Below are 21,949 nucleotides of genomic sequence, written 5' to 3' on the forward strand. Positions count from 1 at the left end.
AGATTACTTCACGCTCTCCTTTTCAGAGCTCTCACATAGAAAAGCTAAAAGGACAGGCCCATGGATATGGAAAAAGCTGGACAAGCACGTACATCCAGTGATGCCTGCTTAATATGTTCACTTTGCACACCCTCTTAGCCCAGTCCCTTCCCATGGCCCCCAGGCTCATGCTTCATGTTGTCCACATAAGCATTTCTATTGTGTCTTGACACCAAGCATCAATTCCTCAGTTACCACAATTTGCAATTCTCATCCATGTCATCCTCAACACATAATGCTTTATTCCCTCTCCTTGGCTGTCAGTGAGAACTTGGAGGGCACTTGCTTCTATAGTTAACTCTCAGATGAGGGTTGGCTGAATCTTGGAAGCGGCTAGAACATTTGCTCAGTGCCGCCTCAGATGAGTTGTCATCTCCCTGCTCTGCTGTCAGTTCTGATTGCACCGCCCTGGTTTCTTGGGCTGCCGCTGCCTCATGTCAGGCCCTCTGAAAGACCTCGTCCTGCAGCTGGTATCTCTTGCTTTCTCTGGACACGGTGTCTGCCCACCCGGGAGGCCCAGAGAAACTAAACCCTCCAGCGTGACTCAGCAGAAAAGAACTGGGTTGCTGTTGCTGGCCGACACCATCCTGTTTCTATTTTTCTCCTCATACAGCTGTGACTAGCCCAGAAAGTCACTTTCTGTCCCCAAACATCTGTTCTCCAAACATCTCTTTGCCTGTCAGTCCTCCCACCCTATAGATTTTCATATTTCATCACCGTAGTACCATCTTGTTACAGCAAAACTGGTTGAAAGGAGTAAGATTATATAAGATGGGGGACAAAAAGATTTCTCATAGGAAAACAAATATGTAACTTTAAGTGCTTAAAAGTTAAAAACAAAAACAAAAACAAAAAACTTTTCTTTAGAGATGGGGTCTTGCTCTGTTGCCCAGGCTGGTTTTGAACTCCTGGGCTCAAATGATTCTCCCAAGTAACTGCGACTATAGGAATGAGCCACCACATCTGGCTCTAAGAAAGTTTTTTTGTTTGTTTGTTTTTTAAAGAAAATATTGCACTTATTTTGTGTAACTTCGTAGCACTGAAACAGTTGGTGGAAATTATAGAAATGCAACTCTTCACTATAACAAGGACGCTCTGGTGATAGCTCTCGGTTATAGCAGCTAGACGTATTAAGTGAACAAACCTACCTGTAAAGTTCCTAGACTTCAGTGCAGAATATTTCTGTGTGTTCTCTTTGTGAAAGTCTGTTGAGCTTATGAACTACTTTTTTGTATGTATGTTATTTTTCAGTAAAAAGTGCAAAAAATGAGAAGAACCATCCCGTCATGCATATGTGTTCTATTGGTGGGGATTTTGAAGCAGAGACCAAATGACTTTTTTTTTTTTTTGAGATGGAGTCTCACTCTGTCACCCAGGCTGGAGTGCAGTGGTGCGATCTTGGCTCACTGCAACCTTCACCTCCCGGATTCAAGCCATTCTCCTGCCTCAGCCTCCTGAGTAGCTGGAATTATAGGCACCCACCACCATGCCTGGCTAATTTTTGTATTTTTAGTAGAGATGGGGCTTCACCATGTTGGCCAGGCTGGTCTTGAACTCCTGACCTTGTGATCCACCTGCCTCAGCCTCCCAAAGTGCTGGGATTACAGGTGTGAGCCACCGCACCAAGCCCAAATGACATCTTATTTGGACAATCATAAGAGAGTCATACCCAGGACAGAAAGCTGGATAGCACCTCAGTTTCTTTAGACTTCATGATTCTGTTTTCTGTTTCTTCCTGAGATGGAGAATTAGCACAACATACAGGCTTCTGCTGCCAAAATCAACCCTTGAGAAACCATAGAAGCAAGAGGGAAAGATGAACTCCAGGAACTGACAACACTTGCAACAACACAAAACCTTGAGAGATCTCTGGAGTGACAGCAGCTTGTCTCATCTGGCATGAGGTGGGGGACGTAGTGGCTGCAGTGGGGGGCTGAGGGAAGAGGCCCAAAGCCGCCTTTGGAGAGGAGGTTGGAAGTAAGCTTTACAAATTCTGCTCTGGTGTCCCCACATCTGCTCCACCCAGGAGTTGCCTGAGGACCAGCCTTGACTGCCCCAGCACAGAAATGGCTACAGTGGCTCAGTGCTGGTGTCCTATTGTCTGAGGGTGTGGGGGTGAGGCAGCACTTATATCTGGCAGAAGAAAACCTGATGGAAGGGGGAGTTGATGAAAATAGAGGGTGCCTGAGCAGCTGCACTCAGGATCTCCCTAACCTTCACTCTTAGCCCCCAGGCTGGTGGGTGGCCACCTTGGAGACGGCCTCCTACATGTGCTGAATCATTCTAAGGGTTTCAAGTTAAACCTCCCCACAGAGGTTTCTGGTGAGTGATGGACAGTGTCTTGGGTGGTGGGGCTCCCACCCTGCCCTGGGGCTTATGCCCTGCCACTCCTGTGGCCCTCTGGAATGTGCAGCACTGGAACCCCTCAGTGGTATTCCGGGGGACTGCAAGTTCACCTGGGCACAACCATGTTCCTGCTGAGTACTCCTGCTGAAAAGGGCCACAAACTGTGCAGAAGTGTTGCAAGAGTTGGGATTCAAATGGATTCTGGTTAATATGAGTGAAGAAATAAGGGAAGGTAATATCAATATAAAATACAGGGAAGAAATTGTAAGAATAAAGAACTGGAAGCACTAGTTCTGAAAATAATGTGAATTCAACTATGCTGCTCTCCCCTGTGCTCTGTGAACATTGCTCATTTACATACTCACTAGAATAAGACAGGTGCTATTATTAAGCCCATTTTGCAGATGAGGGAAGTAAGGCACAGAAACGTTAAGTAACTTGTCTGCAATTATAGGCAGAGCTGGGATTTGAACACAAGTAATCTATCTCTGTGTCCAGCCCTTAGCCATTCCACCGGGTCTCACACTTGATTAAGGATCTCAATGGCAGGCATGGTGGTGCACACCTGTAATCCCAGCTACCTAGGGGTCTCAGACAGAATGATCCCTTGAGCCCAAGAGTTTGAGTCTAGCCTGGGCAACACAGCAAGACCCTGACTCTAAAACAAAACAAAACAAAACACAGCAATGAATGGGGAAAATGGTAGAGTGAGTATAGCTAAAGGAACTTATGGGTTGCAATATTAGACTAAGGAGCTTTTCTAGAAAGCATGAGGAATGTATGAAGTAACAGAAAACGAAAAGAAAAGGTAAGAAATATGGAGAATAAAGTAGAAGTGCCAATATTCAGATTATCAGACCTAGAAAGAGAGAAGGATTAGAAAATAGGAGGCTCTATGATTCTAAACCAAATTGCTCAAGGAATGTTTTTACCTCACTCCTGAACTGACAACAGGGGTGGGTTTCAGCACCTTCAATATCTATCTTTCCCATTCCTGCCAGTGGTGAGGAATTTGTCAACGAAATCAGGAAATCTGAATTCACCATCCCTGCTGGCTTTCCCTGAAGGAGGCCATTCTGTCCAGGTGAATAGCCAGTTACAGCATTTGGGGGTTTTTGCAGACAGAGTAACAGGGTGTAGAAATCAGAGGCACATAAAGGTTTGGGGAACGGGGCGGCAAACTGGTCTCCAGGATATTGTTAGCTATATGGAAACATGGACAGAACCAATGGGAAAGGGTGTTCTTTTAGATCTTTCAGTCAGAAAACTACAGCCAATGAGCCAGATCCAGTAGCCGCCTGTGTTTGTAAACCATCTTTTATTGGAACACAAGACACGCCCGTTCGTTTATTTATTGTCTGTGGTTGTTTTTGCCCTACGATGGCAGAGTCAAGTAGACAGAGACTGGATGGCCCACAAAGAGTACAAATTATTTACTATCTGGCCCTTTACAGAAAACGTTTGCTGACCTCAGACCTGGATTCATGCTTCTGGGTTAAAATCTGTCAGGGCATCCTGCTTGTCCCCTCATGCCTCCCTCCCTCCCACCGTGTCCACAAGGGACTCTTCCTCTACCCTAGCCCCCAACACTGGGCTCAGTCACTGGAATTCATCACTCATGGGTGGGCTCCCGGTGGGATGGTTAGCTCCTCTGCTTGCACCTGAGTAATTAGAAGGGTCGTTTCATATTCTTCTGTGTTCTCGGAGGTGCTGCCCACTTGTGCATTTGGGCAGGGAGGGCTCTGCTCCCTCAGTGGTGGTTGGAGTGAAGGAAGGATGAACCATAGACCAGAGGGTAGTTCCTTCGGCCGCAGGCAGCACTCACAGCTCACTTAATTTGCACAAAGCATACAGAGAGAACCTGACCTCTTGCTCAAGAAAGAAAGAAAGAAAATACAGCTGGAGCTGGGACTGGGAGGGAGAGAAAGGGCTCTCTTCTGGACAGGCAGCTGCTTGTGTTGCGTTGGAGTCCTCTGTCTGTACCTCCATCTGCCCTGGTGAGATAACATTTCACGATGAGAGCTGAGGAGGTGGCTCCCTCCCGCAGAGGTGCATGACTTGGCTGGAGTGTTTTGCTTCGCTGGCACACGTCTTCTCTTTTCAAGTTAGCTGAGCTCACACATCCCCCTTGCTTGTTTGCAAAGTCCATATGGGAGATGAAGGCGAGACAGTTTGACTAAGGGCAGAAGGAGGGAGTGAAGAGGAGGAAATGTGGGAGCGGGGATGCCTGGCCAGACCGAGCCTTCCTCAAATTAGGTCACTGTTTATATAAAAAGTTAAAATTAAACCGAGGACTATTTTCCAAGGTTTCTGACACTGGACATGGCTCTGTGCAGCATCCCTGGAATGCAGTGCAATAAACATCACAGAGCACATGACGTCACACTGAGGGAGAAGCCAGGGAATGTCACTAGCAATGAATCCCAGGCTCTACACAATTATGCTGGAGACAGACAACATCCTTGTTCTCTCTGACTCTTTCCTCTGAGTTTTCCTGCTGGCTTTTTCTGTTCTTCTAATTCTCACGTTTTTATCCACGAGGCAACCATGTCCCCTGAGAGTTACCACACACAGGGCTCTATGTTTCTGTTTGGCCAATAGCATAAAGCTCTTCAACAAAGCTTTGACCTTCCTTCTCCTTCCGACAAATTGTTACGGCCTTACCTTCTCACAGTGATTCCTCAACATGAAACAGCAAGGTAGGTTTCATTATCACCAATCTGCAGATGGAAAAAGCAGGCTCAGCGAGGTTCAAGGACTTCCTTAAAATCACAGAGCAAGACAGCGGCTGAGAGGCACTCAAAGCAAGGTGGTCTATGAGCTTCCCAGTATACCACACCACCCTTCTGACTGCCCTTGTCCTGGCACACCTCCGTAGGTTTGCCATGTTTAAGTGGCAATTAGAAGGGATGTTCCCTGAGGGAAGGGACTCCGGCATATGCCTTAATGCACCTGTGGTGTCCAGCACAGTGCTTGCTACATCATAGACATTCAAAAGTCCGTGTTCAGTGAAGATCCTTATATATGCCCGTTAGCCATGTGTTTGACTTTTTCTCTTGTAGTCTGGAAGGTCTTTGGAGGCCTGGGTTATGATTTTTCCTTAATATGGGGCCAAGTCAATAACCTCAACCTCTGCCTCCAAGAGATTTAAATGGAAATGAAACATTGAGTATAAGATGAACCCACCCGATCCACCAAGCAGTATTCTTTATATGGCTTCCCTAGTGTCAAAATACATCGCTTCAGGCCTGGCCATTGTTGACTCCATTGTTGACATCCTGTCTCCTTCTGGTAGTCAGATTCCTCTTCCATGTTTGAATTCTGTATCTATGTTTTTAAATAAGCCAGGAAACACTCACCCCGCCAGCTCCAAATTAGTTCTTCTTTTCATGCCTTTTCTGTTTCCTGGCTCCATGCCACAGTCTCCCTCCATTAGAATTAAGAAATAGCGCTCAGAGAGTCATATGTCTTCACCTAGTTAGCACCTTTCCTTCGGGACAGCTTCTCTGAGGGTGGCTCCCACATATGCCAGGCTTTTCTCCTAGCAATTCCTAGGTTGTCAGTGTCAGGGGCAGGGAGGAGCATGTGTGAGGATGGGTGTGGGTAGGGGAGGAGAGGGGAAGGTGCAGAACACTGTTACACGAGGCACTCTGTCGTGGTGATTGAAGGAAGCAGTTTCTTGGCCATGTGTCCAGGATGTGCTTTAAGGGAGCCAAGACAGATCATTCATATCTTATGAAGAGTTGTATTTGGAATCTTTAAATAAATAGGAAATGCTTGTCTCTCCTTATCTAACTCTCCATTTGTCTTTTTTAAATCCTAAGTTTCATAAAGATACCTGGAATTAAATCATCCCAAGTTAGGTTTCCATAAAAGTCCTTAGCCAGCAAAATCTTTCTCTCTGGGGCCACCTTTTTCTGGGAAGTTCCCTCAGCTCTGCCCGTCCTCCTACCCTCCGCTGTACTCCCCACAGCCGTCCTTCACAACACTTAGCACACTGTGCTGGGGTGAGATGAGCTCCCTCGTCTCTCTCCCTTTCCCTGTCTTCTCTATTCACACGGAGCCTGGCTCATAACAGAAGGCCAACAAAAGACTGTTGAAGGAATTAATAAATGAGTAAAATTTTCTTGACATTTAGTTTGAATTTTTATTCTCAGATTTCAACATAAGACTATCCTACATGTATCACAAAAGCAGAAATTCCCTGAGGGGAATCTCATATGTGATTATTGAATTATTTTCTAGATTTTAATTTATTCTGCTTTTGCATTCTTTTTTTCAGCTGTCTATTACTTGGTAACAATCTCCTCCCATTATTTAAGAGTTGGTGGTTGGCAGGGCTCAGGTGGCAGTTCTTCAGCATGAAAGTGCAATAGCTCAGGTCACTCATCAGGTGCATTCACCTGGAAGTTCACTGAGACTTACACATCCTTGACGGTCTCTTATTCTGTGGGGGTCTTTCTCTATGTGGTTGCTCATCATTCAGTGATCTAGCCCGAACTTCTTCATAGAATGGCAGGTGGCTTCCAAGAGGAAGCATTTCAAGAGGACAAGCCCCGATGTGCAAGTGCTTATCCAGCTTCTGTTCGGTCACATTTGCTGCTGTTCCACTGGCCAAAGCAAGCCCCATGGCCAAGTCCTCTACCAATGCAGAAGGGACCGTGCGAGGGCATGTCATAGTCTACCACTGTTACAGAACCCAGCTGGGTCTGTTTGACCATGCAGGGCAGAAACCCAAACACTGAAGTGTTGAATTTTTTAGAAAGAAAGTGTTATTGCAGGGCAGCCAAACAAGAAGATAGGAGATGGGTTCAAATCTATCTGCTCATCTCAGCTCACAAGTAGTATATTTAAGGTCAGCAATTTTAGGAGGAGGATTTGGGGGCTGGTTAAGGACTTGTAGAAAGGAAAGGGAAGTTAGGAAATTCTCATTCAAGAAATAAACAAGTGAATAGGAACAGCTCCGGTCTACAGCTCCCAGCGTGAGCGACGCAGAAGACGGATGATTTCTGCATTTCCTTCTGAGGTACTGGGTTCATCTCACTAGGGAGTGCCAGACAGTGGGCGCAGGTCAGTGGGTGCAGCGCACCGTGCTCGAGCCGAAGCAGGGCGAGGCATTGCCTCACTCGGGAAGCGCAAGGGGTCAGGGAATTCCCTATCCTAGTCAAAGAAAGGGGCGACAAACGGCACCTGGAAAATCGGGTCACTCCCACCCGAATACTGCGCTTTTCCGACAGGCTTAAAAAACTGCGCACCAGGAGATTATATCCCACACCTGGCTTGGAGGGTCCTATGCCCACGGAGTCTCGCTGATTGCTAGCACAGCAGTCTGAGATCAAACTGCAAGGTGGCAGCCAGGCTGGGGGAGGGGCGCCCGCCATTGCCCAGGCTTGCTTAGGTAAACAAAGCAGCCGGGAAGCTGGAACTGGGTGGAGCCCACCACAGCTCAAGGAGGCCTGCCTGCCTCTGTAGGCTCCACCTCTGGGGGCAGGGCACAGACAAAAAGAGAGCAGTAACCTCTGCAGACTTAAATGTCCCTGTCTGACAGCTTTGAAGAGAGCAGTGGTTCTCCCAGCATGCAGCTGGAGATCTGAGAATGGGCAGACTGCCTCCTCAAGTGGGTCCCTGACCCCTGACCTCTGAGCAGCCTAACTGGGAGGCACCCCCCAGGAGGGGCAGACTGACACTTCACACAGCCGGGTACTCCTCTGAGACAAAACTTCCAGAATAACGATCAGACAGCAGCATTTGCGGTTCACAAAAAAACCGCTGTTCTGCAAACACCGCTGCTGATACCCAGGCAAACAGGGTCTGGAGTGGACCTCTAGCAAACTCCAACAGACCTGCAGCTGAGGGTCCTGTCTGTTATAAGGAAAACTAACAAACAGAAAGGACATCCACACCAAAAACCCATCTGTACATCACCAACATCAAAGACCAAAAGTAGATAAAACCACAAAGATGGGGGAAAAACAGAGCAGAAAAACTGGAAACTCTAAAAAGCAGAGCACCTCTCCTCCTCCAAAGGAACGCAGTTCCTCACCAGCAATGGAACAAAGCTGGATGGAGAATGACTTTGACGAATTGAGAGAAGAAGGTTTCAGACGATCAAACTACGAGCTACAGGAGGAAATTCAAACCAAAGGCAAGGAAGTTAAAAACTTTGAAAAAAATTTAGACGAATGTATAACTAGAATAACCAATACAGAGAAGTGCTTAAAGGAGCTGATGGAGCTGAAGGCCAAGGCTCGAGAACTACGTGAAGAATGCAGAAGCCTCAGGAGCTGATGTGATCAACTGGAAGAAAGGGTGTCAGCGATGGAAGATGAAATGAATGAAATGAAGCGAGAAGGGAAGTTTAGAGAAAAAAGAATAAAAAGAAACGAACAAAGCCTCCAAGAAATATGGGACTATGTGAAAAGACCAAATCTACGTCTGATTGGTGTACCTGAAAGTGATGGGGATAATGGAACCAAGTTGGAAAACACTCTGCAGGATATTATCCAGGAGAACTTCCCCAATCTAGCAAGGCAGGCCAACATTCAGATTCAGGAAATACAGAGAACGCCACAAAGATACTCCTCGAGAAGTCCTCGAGAAGAGCAACTCCAAGACACATAATTGTCAGATTCACCAAAGTTGAAATGAAGGAAAAAATGTTAAGGGCAGCCAGAGAGAAAGGTCGGGTTACCCACAAAGGGAAGCCCATCAGACTAACAGCGGATCTCTCAGCAGAAACTCTACAAGCCAGAAGAGAGTGGGGGCCAATATTCAACATTCTTAAAGAAAATAATTTTCAACCCAGAATTTCATATCCAGCTAAGCTAAGCTTCATAAGTGAAGGAGAAATAAAATACTTTACAGACAAGCAAATGCTGAGAGATTTTGTCACCACCAGGCCTGCCCTAAAAGAGCTCCTGAAGGAAGCACTAAACATGGAAAGGAACAACCAGTACCAGCCGCTGCAAAATCATGCCAAAATGTAAAGACCATCAAGACTAGGAAGAAACTGCATCAACTAATGAGCAAAATAACCAGCTAACATCATAATGACAGGATCAAATTCACACATAACAATATTAACTTTAAATGTAAATGGACTAAACACTCCAATTAAAAGACACAGACTGGCAAATTGGATAAAGAGTCAAGATCCATCAGTGTGCTATATTCAGGAAACCCATCTCACATGCAGAGACACACATAGGCTCAAAATAAAAGGATGGAGGAAGATCTACCAAGCAAATGGAAAACAAAAAAAGGCAGGGGTTGCAATCCTAGTCTCTGATAAAACAGACTTTAAACCAACAAAGATCAAAAGAGACAAAGAAGGCCATTACATAATGGTAAAGGGATCAATTCAACAAGAAGAGCTAACTATCCTAAATATATATGCACCCAATACAGGAGCACCCAGATTCATAAAGCAAGTCCTGAGTGACCTACAAAGAGACTTAGACTCCCACACATTAATAATGGGAGACTTTAACACCCCACTGTCAACATTAGACAGATCAACGAGACAGAAAGTTAACAAGGATACCCAGGAATTGAACTCAGCTCTGCACCAAGCGGACCTAATAGACATCTACAGAACTCTCCACCCCAAATCAACAGAATATACATTTTTTTCAGCACCACACCACACCTATTCCAAAATTGACCACATAGTCGGAAGTAAAGCTCTCCTCAGCAAATGTAAAAGAACAGAAATTATGACAAACTATTTCTCAGACCACAGTGCAATCAAACTAGAACTCAGGATTAAGAAACTCACTCAAAACTGCTCAACTACATGGGAACTGAACAACCTGCTCCTGAATGACTACTGGGTACATAACAAAATGAAGGCAGAAATAAAGATGTTCTTTGAAACCAACGAGAACAAAGACACAACATACCAGAATCTCTGGGACGCATTCAAAGCAGTGTGTAGGGGGAAATTTATAGCACTAAATGCCCACAAGAGAAAGCAGGAAAGATCCAAAATTGACACCCTAACATCACAACTAAAAGAACTAGAAAAGCAAGAGCAAACACATTCAAAAGCTACCAGAAGGCAAGAAATAACTAAAATCAGAGCAGAACTGAAGGAAATAGAGACACAAAAAACCCTTCAAAAAATTAATGAATCCAGGAGCTGGTTCTTTGAAAGGATCAACAAAATTGATAGACCGCTAGCAAGACTAATAAAGAAAAAAAGAGAGCAGAATCAAATAGATGCAATAAAAAATGATAAAGGGGATATCACCACTGATCCCACAGAAATACAAACTACCATCAGAGATTACTACAAACACCTCTACGCAAAGAAACTAGAAAATCTAGAAGAAATGGATAAATTCCTCGACACATACACTCTTCCAAGACTAAACCAGGAAGAAGTTGAATCTCTGAATAAACCAATAACAGGAGCTGAAATTGTGGCAATAATCAATAGCTTACCAACCAAAAAGAGTCCAGGACCAGATGGATTCACAGCCGAATTCTACCAGAGGTACAAGGAGGAACTGGTACCATTCCTTCTGAAACTATTCTAATCAGTAGAAAAAGAGGGAATCCTCCCTAACTCATTTTATGAGGCCAGCATCATCCTGATACCAAAGCCAGGCAGAGACACAACCAAAAAAGAGAATTTTAGACCAATATCCTTGATGAACATTGATGCAAAAATCCTCAATAAAATACTGGCAAACCAAATCCAGCAGCACATCAAAAAGCTTATCTACCATGATCAAGTGGGCTTCATCCCAGGGATGCAAGGCTGGTTCAACATATGCAAATCAATAAATGTAATCCAGCATACAAACAGAACCAAAGACAAAAACCACATGATTATCTCAATAGATGCAGAAAAGGCCTTTGACAAAATTCAACAACCCTTCATGCTAAAAACTCTCAATAAATTAGGTATTGATGGAACGTATCTCAAAATAATAAGAGCTATATATGACAAACCCACAGCCAATATCATACTGAATGGGCAAAAACTGGAAGCATTCCCTTTGAAAACTGGCACAAGACAGGGATGCCCTCTCTCACCACCCCTGTTCAACACAGTGTTGGAAGTTCTGGCCGGGGCAATTAGGCAGGAGAAGGAAATAAAGGGTATTCTATTAGGAAAAGAGGAAGTCAAATTGTCCCTGTTTGCAGACGACATGATTGTATATCTAGAAAACCCCATTGTCTCAGCCCAAAATCTCCTTAAGCTGATAAGCAACTTCAGCAAAGTCTCAGGATACAAAATCAATGTACAAAAATCACAAGCATTCTTATACACCAATAACAGACAAACAGAGAGCCAAATCATGAGTGAACTCCCATTCACAATTGCTTCAAAGAGAATAAAATACCTAGGAATCCAACTTACAAGGGATGTGAAGGACCTCTTCAAGGAGAAGTACAAACCACTGCTCAATGAAATAAAAGAGGATACAAACAAATGCAAGAACATTCCATGCTCATGGGTAGGAAGAATCAATATCGTGAAAATGGCCATACTGCCCAAGGTAATTTATAGATTCAATGCCATCCCCATCAAGCTACCAATGACTTTCTTCACAGAATTGGAAAAAACTACTTTAAAGTTCATATGGAACCAAAAAAGAGCCCGCATTGCCAAGTCAATCCTAAGCCAAAAGAACAAAGCTGGAGGCATCATGCTACCTGACTTCAAACTATACTACAAGGCTACAGTAACCAAAACAGCATGGTACAGGTACCAAAACAGAGATATAGATCAATGGAACAGAACAGAGCCCTCAGAAATAACGCCACATATCTACAACTATCTGATCTTTGACAAACCTGACAAAAACAAGAAATGGGGAAAGGACTCCCTATTTAACAAATGGTGCTGGGAAAACTGGCTAGCCATATGTAGAAAGCTGAAACTGGATCCCTTCCTTACACTTTATACAAAAATCAATTCAAGATGGATTAAAGACTTAAACGTTAGACCTAAAACCATAAAAACCCTAGAAGAAAACCTAGGCATTACCATTCGGGACATAGGCATGGGCAAGGACTTCATGTCTAAAACACCAAAAGCAATGGTAACAAAAGCCAAAATTGACAAATGGGATCTAATTAAACTAAAGAGCCTCTGCACAGCAAAAGAAACTACCATCAGAGTGAACAGGCAACCCACAAAATGGGAGAAAATTTTCACAACCTACTAATCTGACAAAGGGCTAATATCCAGAATCTACAATGAACTCAAACAAATTTACAAGAAAAAAACAAACAACCCCATCAAAAAGTGGGCAAAGGACATGAACAGACACTTCTCAAAAGAAGACATTTATGCAGCCAAAAAACACATGAAAAAATGCTCACCATCACTGGCCATCAGAGAAATGCAAATCAAAACCACAATGAGATATCATCTCACACCAGTTAGAATGGCAATCATTAAAAAGTCAGGAAACAACAGGTGCTGGAGAGGATGTGGAGAAATAGGAACACTTTTACACTGTTGGTGGGACTGTAAACTAGTTCAATCATTGTGGAAGTCAGTGTGGCGATTCCTCAGGGATCTAGAACTAGAAATACCATTTGACCCAGCCATCCCATTACTGGGTATATACCCAAAGGACTATAAATCATGCTGCTATAAAGACACATGCGCACATATGTTTATTGCGGCACTATTCATAATAGCAAAGACTTGGAACCAACCCAAATGTCCAACAATGATAGACTGGATTAAGAAAACGTGGCACATATACACCATGGAATACTATGCAGCCATAAAAAAATGATGAGTTCATGTCCTTTGTAGGGACATGGATGAAATTGGAAATCATCATTCTCAGTAAACTATCGCAAGAACAAAAAACCAAACACTGCATATTCTCACTCATAGGTGGGAATTGAACAATGACAACACATGGACACAGGAAGGGGAACATCACACTCTGGGGACTGTTGTGGGGTGGGGGGAGGGGGGAGGGATAGCACTGGGAGATATACCTAATGCTAGATGACGAGTTAATGGGTGCAGCGCACTAGCATGGCACATATATACATATGTAACTAACCTGCACAATGTGCACATGTACCCTAAAACTTAAAGTATAATAATAAAAAATAAATAAAAATAAAAAAAATTAAAAAAAGGAAATTCTCTTGGGCATACAGTTATCCTTCATAGGTCACATCTGTAAATTCCGGGGTTGGGGATTGGTATAAAACATGTGGTGGAAATTTGGGATGTGATATCAAAGGTCACGCAGCCAGCAAGCTGATCTCCTTTGCACAAGCTCCAGCCAGCCATATTGGTTCTGGCTGGTTTTAACTGGCCCTGTGGTTTAGTAAGTGGACATCCTATAAAGAAGCTCATACATTTTGTTAATCACCAAAATCCCTTTTAGCCCTGTTCTTTGGTCCGTTTAACCCTGTGAGGCACAGTTTTACCACACTTCCTATACCTTCCTAAGTATTTCCTTGTCACATATTTTAATACTTCCAGTGAGCCTTGTAGATGGACTCCCTTATCTTGAGTTGATTCATAACATACACTGAATGCTGACTAGATGCCAAGTGCCCTGAAGTGATAGAAAATAGGCTCCTTGCCTCAAAGACTATATATTTTATTTGGGGACTTACACTATACAGATTTGAAAATATCTTAAGCCATCTACCAGTGCTGTTTTACGCATATCATATAAATATGAGTCACTGAAGCCACTGAAGTAAGCACAGTGAAAATTTCAATGGTCAGAGTTGCTATGTGATCTAGGTTGCCACCTCTATCCCTGTCCAGAGAAGCTTGTTGTCAATTGATACCAATTCTAAGAAAGAGAACTCCAGCAATTCCTTAGGAAAAAAAATATAAATCTCATGAATGAAACATAGTTGTAGCCCTTGTGATGGCAGCAGCGGGCCGTCTGGAGCGGCCACTGAAATCACACTGACCGCAGCAGGGAGGTGCTGCTGGGGCTACGTGTTCTGTGGAGCTAGTGGGAGCCTTCCAAGTTGGGATGGGAGCTCCCTAGGTGCCACTGCAGCCACCCAAGCCACAACCCGGGCATCCCTGTGCTCTCAAGGCCCAGGAGCAGGGGGAAGCCTGCCCTCCTGGGTGCAGCTACAGCCATCCAAGTTGCAGCTGTAGACCTGGGCCTCTTGCTCCACAGAGCAGACAGGAGCCCCACCCTCCTGAGTGCAACTGCAGCCGTCCAAGTCAGGGCTGTGGACCCGAGCCTCCCCGTGCCCTTGGGGGCCTGAGAAGACCACCCCTCCTGCCCTTGCAGGCTTGGGAGTGCCTACTTCTGCTTCCTGGGTTCTCTGTCAGCACCTGCTCCGATTTTGGAGCAATGTGGAGCCAAGCCAAGGTGTTGTCGCAGCCCGCCAGGAGTGCACATGCTCAGGGCAGCACTGACACACCAGCCCCCTGCTGCCTTGGCCCCCTTTGGACTTTTGGCACCAGCAAGCACAAGAGAAAGGCCAAGGTGGGGCTGAAGACAGCCTGACACTGGCCTGCAGGTGCCCCTTGGCACAAGCAGCCTGGGCACCATGGAGGGCAGCAGGAGGCAGACAGGATCCTGGGCATAAGAGGGTGGGTACCTGATGAGGCCCCACCTTCAGGCCTGGGAGAGCCTGAAGGCTGGGGGCTGGCCTGCCCATCCAGCAGACCAGAGGAGGAACTTGTGGTGCCTTTTCTGGGCCCACCTATGGCCACCTCTGGACCAATTGGCATGTAATTCCTCCCCTCTGAGGCCCATAAAGCCCTGGGCTCAGCCGGAGCTGAGCAGACATCGGGACGACCAGCTGCAGAGAGGAGCTACCCACTCCAGGGCCTCCTCTCTGCTGAGAGCTGCAGATGTCAGGATGACTAGCTGCAGAGAGCACAGAGAGACAACATTGGGATGGCCTGCCTTCAGGGAGGAGCCACCCATTCTTCTCCTCCACTGAGAGCTGCAGACAACAGGAAGACCAGCTACAGGGAGGAGCTACCCTCTCTGCTGATAGCTAAACATTTGTCAGGATGACTTGCCTAGCAGAGAGGAGCTACCCTCTCTGCTAGGAGCTGAACACTCACTGGGACACCCTGGCTGTGGAAAGGAGCTACCCAGTGCGGGTTTCCTCTGAGCTGTTCTATCACTCAATAAAGCTCCTCTTCATCTCGCTCACCCTCCAATTGTCTGCATACCTTATTCTTCCTGGTCTCAGGACAAGAACTTGGAACCCGCCAAATAGTGAGGCTAAAAAAGCTGCAACACCAACAGGGCTGAGACATGCACCTTGCTTGTCACATTGTGGGCAAAGAGAAAAAAAGAAGAACTAGGGCCCTTCAGGGACCCCAGACCTGGGAGCTGCCTAAGCCAGGGCTAGACTTCCTCTTTGGGGCCCCACAGTTCCTGGCATCTCCAAGCTTCTGGGTGCCACTGTATTCCCAGCTGCCAACTGTGGAAGCTGCTTGTGATGCACCTGGTCCAGCTGCAGCTTCACAGAGAGCCGCCACCCATGCTGGCACCTGGAGCTGCCTGCCCTGCTGCAGTAGCTGGCATGTCTGACTGCACAGTGGCCAGACCCCACACTTGCTCACACACCCCTTGCCACTCCACGCAGTCTCCCTTGGCAGGCATGGGGTCCAGGCCAGTATCATGAGCCGAACGCAGTCTGCCAGGATGAGTGGGCAGAACAAACCCAGTGGGCCTGAGCAAAACTCAGGCACAGGTGCCACCAGCCACAGAGGTTTCCGGCCTCTGTGACACCCCAAATGATCCTGTGACACTAGTATGGCGAGCTTTTTATCATGATTATCACAATTTATGTAGTTGTTGTGTTTATCTTTTAGCTTCCTTTCTCTTAATCCCTCACCTAAATAATCATCCAAAGCTATTCGGAGGGAGGAGGGTGCAAGGTGTTCTCAAGGAAGGCAGTGGTTCTCATAGTGCAGCCCCTTAACCAGCAGCACCTTGAAAGTTGTTAGAAATGCAGGTTCTCAGGCCCTCCCCACTCCTACTGCATCAGAACCTCTTGGTGTGGGGCCCAGCAATCTGTGTTTTCACAGCCCTCAGTGATTCTGATGTACAACTAAGTCTGAGAGGCACTGATTTGGGGGCCACATGATTAGGCCATGGTTGTTACTGAGGTGACTTAGCTAGAGCAGGTCATTCTAATTACCTAGGATGGCTGTTCACATACCTGCTGCCAGGTCAGTGCTGCAGCATCTGCCCTAACAAGCAATGAGGGATGAAATAGGATGCTTTTGGTAAAATCACCCAGTTTCTCAGAGAGAAGAAAACTCTCCAGAGAATTTCTACTGCAGAGATTTGGCACGTTATGTGCACTAATTTAGACATACCAATTGAAAATTTCTTTTTATTTTTTTCTATAGACATTGCATAGAAATTCTCTAGAATTTCAAGTACAAGTAACTGCTAGAGGAGCTCTTTGGCTCAAATGTCTGCTGTTACTCTATTTTCTTTTCATTTTCCTATCACATCCCGGGCAAGAATGGCAGATGAGATATACAGAAATCAGGTTAGAAAGAAAGTAATCATACTTCTCTGAAAAAAAGTTTTCGCCCAGATCCAAGATGAAAATTAGAAAGAATTTCATCTTTCCAGAACTGTCAAGCCATCTGGCAAAAGAGCTGACTGATACAATTTTTATATTATTGACCAAATTCTCACACCAGTTTCTCCTTTTCTCATAAGTGTAAATATTTTCCAGTTAAATCTTTGGGGTTGGCAGTGGTGGTGTGGGTGGTTCTTCAGTGAAGGACTCTTGACTTTTTCCATTTCAGACTAAGTGGAGGCAATTTAGAATTATGAATTAAAAGCCTCACGCATTCCTGTCTGATTCAACAGTATCATATCTGTAAATGTATTCCCATTGAAGTAACTAAGAATGTGTGCAAAAAATAGCCATAAAGTATTTATTTCATCATCATTTTCAATAGGAAAAAAACTGGGAGCAATCTAAATATTTAACAATAGAGGATTATTTTGGAAAGTATGCATGTTCGTACATACAGCTAAATAATACACCGCCTTTAAAATGGCAATTCATATGGATTGTAGAAGACTATTACCTGACATGGAAAGATATTCAGGATATGTCATTAACCGGGAGAAGCAGGTTCCATATAGTAGGCACAGACACTTCACATTCAGTAGAATGGCTACTATTAAACAGGGAAAATAACAAGCACTGTTGAGACTGCAGAGAGATTGGAACCCTTGTGCATTGCTGATGAGAATGTAAAATAAGGCAGCCACGTGGAAAAAGTATGGCAGTTCCTCAAAAAGTTAAACATACAATCACCACTGGATCCAGCAATTCCGCTTCTAGGTATATACGCAAAAGAACTGAAAGCAGGGCCTCAAAGTGATACTTATACACCAGTATTTATAGCAGCAGTATTCAGAACAGCTGAAAGGTGTAAACAACTCAAGTGTCCATCAACAAATGATTGAATAAACAAAATGTGACACATTAGCTTAAAAAAAGGAATGGAATTCTGCTACATGTTACAACATGGATTAACCTTGAAAACATTATGCTGAGTGAAATAAGCTAGACACAAAAAGACACATATTGTATAATTCCACTTATATGAGCAACTATTCAATTCATAGAGACAAAAGTAGAATAGAAGTTACCAAGAGTTGGAGGGAGAGAAGAATGGGAACTTGTTGTTTAATGGGCAGAGAGTTTCTGTTTGGGATGATGAAAAACTTCTAGAAATAGACAGTGGTGATGGTTACATGACATTGTGAAGGTACTTAATGCCACTGAATTGTACACTTAAAAATTGTTAAAATGGGCGGGGCATGGTGGCTCATGCCTGTAATCCCAGCACTCTGGGAAGCCAAGGCAGGCGGATTGCTTGAGTCCAGGAGTTTGAGACCAGCCTGGGCAACATGGCGAAACCCCATCTCTACCAAAAATACAAAAACTAGTCTGGTGTGGGGGCATATGCCTGTAGTCCCAGCTACTCGGGAGGCTGAGGTGGATGAATCGTTTGAGCCTGGGAGGTCAAAGCTGCAGTGAGCTGAGATCATGCCACTGCACTCCAAACTGGATGACAGCAAGATCCTGTCTCAAAAAAAAAAAACAAAAAAAAAAAACAAATGGCAAAATTTATGTTTACTATTATGTATATTGCCATTTATGTACACTTTATCACAGTAAAAATGGAAAACATTGTATGTACAATATAATATTTTTACAAATATGTAACACCCACATATTTCCTTAATTTTAAAATGTCATTATTTGTATGAAACACTATTAACTTAATAACAGTTTTTTCAGATGAAAGGAAATACTGTCATATTGTATGCACTCACATATTTAAACTGATTCCCAAAATACCAAACTTTGGAAAATTTGCATCTTAGGAATGAGGAAATGTGTACGTAGGCATGGAAAAAGGTCTGGAAAATGCTCACCACTAGTATAGTATTTTGAGTGGCAGAATTATGGGTATTCTTTATTATTCTATTTTTCCTATATGCATTTTTATATTTTTCTATATAAAGCACTATTTTTGTAACAGTAAGTTTTTATTGAAGGGCATATTAAAAAATATGCCCTTTCTAGAATGGTTTTTTTGAATCTAAGAATTTACAGTTTCACCTACAACATACACTCCCCCCCAGAAAATAATGCCAGGGGATTAAAATCACCATGAAAAGACCTTTCTGCATTCAACCAGGGTGCGGGAACGAGCCATCACTAAGCTCTGTTTTGCTTCATCCAACTTCCCTGTGCCCAGCATCCACATCAATATTTACACACTCCATCATTCCTCGGGTTATTTATTTTCCTTGGTCCATTTTGCACAGTGACTAAGTTTTGCAGCATGGAAGTTGACAGAATTTGTCATTGATATCAATCTTTATTAAGTTTACTGCTGAGAGCTCAGAAAATGGCGGTTCTGGAGCAAGGAACAGGGTGAAAGCAGGAAGAACATCAGGCACTAAGAAAAGCTGTGTGTGTGTGTGTGTGTGTGTGTGTGTGTGTGTGTGTGTGTGTGTGTGTGTTTAAAATGTTTGTCATTGTTGCTCCAACCTTAATTTGCTGATGATTGCATTTCTCTGTAATACTTTTTATTTTTTACAATCAAACAAAATCTACAATTCTGCTACTCAGCAGCCACCACCAGGAAGAGGCCTCTCCTCTCTTGCCTCTTCCTGGCAAGACTCCTGGCCGAGCCTAGGTTCTGAATCTCATGGGCTTCCTTCTGCTGCACAGCCAGCCTCTCACAAAGAGCTGGGTTCTGTAGAGAAGAATCTTCAGGCAGCAAGTCTTCTTCTGGATCTTCTGAAACTAAAGAAACTAAGACCGTGTGTAGCATGACATTTATTGCTTGTGTATTATATGGTGTGTTTGGAAAGAGCAAGGTGAAACTGCCCCTATAAACTTTATAAAATTAGTTAGAGAAGAAGGGAGGGAGAAACAAAAATAAACTAAGCTTGCAGCACGTTCCACATTAATCATTAAGTGAGCTTACTCTCTGCCCTGCTTCCTCAAAGCTGTTTGGTACCTATGGTCCTAGAATCATATAGACCTTAGACGACAGTTCTCCTGAACAGCTCTTTAGATAACAACTTGAACATCATGAAACGTTAAGTTTTCCCTTTGAGATATTCCTTCAGGTCCTGCAAACTGATGTAACAACTGACTCAACTGGTCTGAAGGGCCCACAAGGAGCTAACTCACCAATGGATGCAGCTTCCACAGCTCCATGATTTCTTCCTCCCTGCCCCAACCAACCAACAACCTCAGTTTTCAAACCCTTCACCTTCCACAGTCCCCTTAAAAGCCCCAGCCCAGAACTCCTCAGGAAGACAGATTTGGAGGTCTCCTCCCATCTCCTCACACAATGCCCTGCAATCATTAAACTCTTTCTCTGCTGCAAACCCTACTGTCTCAGTGTAATGGGTCCGTTACTGGGCAGCGGGCATACAAACCTGTTGGTTCTGTAAAAAAGAGCTCTAGAAAGAACCCTACTGCTCGGCTTCACTGCTTCTAGCTGTGCGATCTTTGACAGATTCCTCGCTGCTCTATGCCTCTAGTCCCTAACCTGAAACATAGGGCAAATAATACTCCCTAGCTCACAGAATTGTTATGTTATTAAATAAGTTAATATATATATAAAGTACTTGGAATAATTCCTGGAGCATAGGATGCACACAACAAAGGTTAGTTCTTTTATTATAATTTGGAGCCAGTTCCCACTAAAAGCTGTAACCCAGGCTTGGGGGCTACCCTTTTACTCTCAACAGAAAGATCTGTGTTGAGAAGGGTAGCTCTTTCCCACTAAAGATTCATATAGGAAGGAAGAGACAATTCTAAGCTGGTCTTCATGCTGTCCTTTATTTAGTGTGGGTTGGCAGCCTCAAGCATGAAGCCAGGCTACAGAATGCTAGGGAGCCAAATTAATGCAGAAACTTGCCTAGTGTGAGACTGAGGAAGATGGAGCAAGTCAGTTTAAACAGAGCCACAAACAACAGTAAGCTTTAAATGTCTCAGCTACAGTCTCAGACTCACATCATCTTACAGGCAGAAGAACGTGGAGTAAGTAGTTGTGTCACATCAACCTTTTTAGCCATTCTGCTAAGCATGAAAATTAGTCCCGTAAGCAAAATACCTGAATTAGCTTTTGAACTTTTCTTTATTGAATGAATTTCAATAAAGTGAACACACCCATGGACTTCCTACCCAGATAAAGATATAGGACATTACCAGAATGTCAGAACTTTCTAATAATTGCTGCACTGCAGTGTCAGCTTTGTTGTAAATCAGGGGATTTAAATGTGTATGTTCAGACTTCTTAGTCTGTTCCAACGGTCTACTAGCCACCAAGATTGCACTGTTTTAAATTAACGTAGCTTTATGATACTTCCTAATATCTAGTATTTTATTTCTTTTCTCTCTCTCTTTTTTTTTTTTTTTTTGAGACGGAGTCTCACTCTGTTGCCCAGGTTGGAGTGCAGTGCTGTGATCTCAGCTCACTGCAAACTCAGCTCCTGGGTTCAAGCTATTCTCCTGCCTCAGCCTTCTAAGTAGCTGGGATTACAGGTGTCTGCCACCATGCCTGGCTAATTTTGTATTTTTAGCAGAGATGGGGTTTCACCATGTTGGCCAGGCTGGTCTCGAACTCCTGGCCTCTGGTGATCCACCTGCCTGGGCCTCCCAAAGTGCTGGGATTACAGGCATGAGCCTCCGTGCCCGGTCAGTACTTTATTTCAACTTTGTTTTTCTTTAAGATTGTCTTGGACACTTTTTGTCCTTAGCATTTCCATATAAATTTTGTAATCAGATTGTAAATTTCTAAAAAAAAAACCTGCTGAAATTTTTATTGGGATTACATTGACTACACAGATCAATTTAGGGGAGAAAATGACACCTTTATCAACACTGAATCTTCCAATCTATGAACACAGTATATCCCTCCATTTATTTAGGTCTTCTTTAATTTCTCTTAGTAAAGCTTCATAGAGAGGTAGGGGTCTTGAAAAACAATTTCTAGGTTAAAGGGCATCATCTTAAAATTTTGTTTTCTAATTATTTGTTCCAATCTAAGAATACAATTAATTTTTTT

The 21,949-nt window shown here is 44.0% G+C and overlaps 1 long non-coding RNA gene across 5 annotated transcripts in view, besides 3 other annotated features; it reads left to right on the forward strand.

The window, feature by feature from the left end:
- LOC101928331 (uncharacterized) overlaps nucleotides 1–21,949 on the forward strand; it is an 84,318-nt gene that overhangs the window by 40,879 nt on the left and 21,490 nt on the right. For 2 of the 5 annotated variants that reach the window (XR_001743996.3, XR_001743995.3), the window contains exon 1: nucleotides 1,606–1,943. The exons of the other annotated variants lie outside the window; for them this stretch is intronic. This is a non-coding gene — a long non-coding RNA (uncharacterized LOC101928331). Of the gene's footprint in view, nucleotides 1–1,605; nucleotides 1,944–21,949 lie in introns of those variants that run through there. 5 annotated transcript variants of the gene reach the window in all.
- Nucleotides 23–523: an enhancer, noted in NCBI's record as "H3K27ac hESC enhancer chr6:14472912-14473412 (GRCh37/hg19 assembly coordinates)". NCBI's record gives its function as "activates a minimal SCP1, AML or CMV promoter by ChIP-STARR-seq in naive H9 embryonic stem cells {active_cell/tissue: H9 hESC(naive)}" and the evidence as "EXISTENCE:reporter gene assay evidence [ECO:0000049][PMID:30033119]".
- Nucleotides 524–1,024: an enhancer, noted in NCBI's record as "H3K27ac hESC enhancer chr6:14473413-14473913 (GRCh37/hg19 assembly coordinates)". NCBI's record gives its function as "activates a minimal SCP1, AML or CMV promoter by ChIP-STARR-seq in naive H9 embryonic stem cells {active_cell/tissue: H9 hESC(naive)}" and the evidence as "EXISTENCE:reporter gene assay evidence [ECO:0000049][PMID:30033119]".
- Nucleotides 2,012–2,236: a silencer, noted in NCBI's record as "fragment chr6:14474901-14475125 (GRCh37/hg19 assembly coordinates)". NCBI's record gives its function as "represses an EF-1alpha promoter that drives an FKBP-Casp9 reporter gene in an ReSE screen in HepG2 liver carcinoma cells {active_cell/tissue: HepG2}" and the evidence as "EXISTENCE:reporter gene assay evidence [ECO:0000049][PMID:32094911]".

Source organism: Homo sapiens, chromosome 6, assembly GCF_000001405.40.
Source record: "Homo sapiens chromosome 6, GRCh38.p14 Primary Assembly".
NCBI lineage: Eukaryota > Metazoa > Chordata > Mammalia > Primates > Hominidae > Homo > Homo sapiens.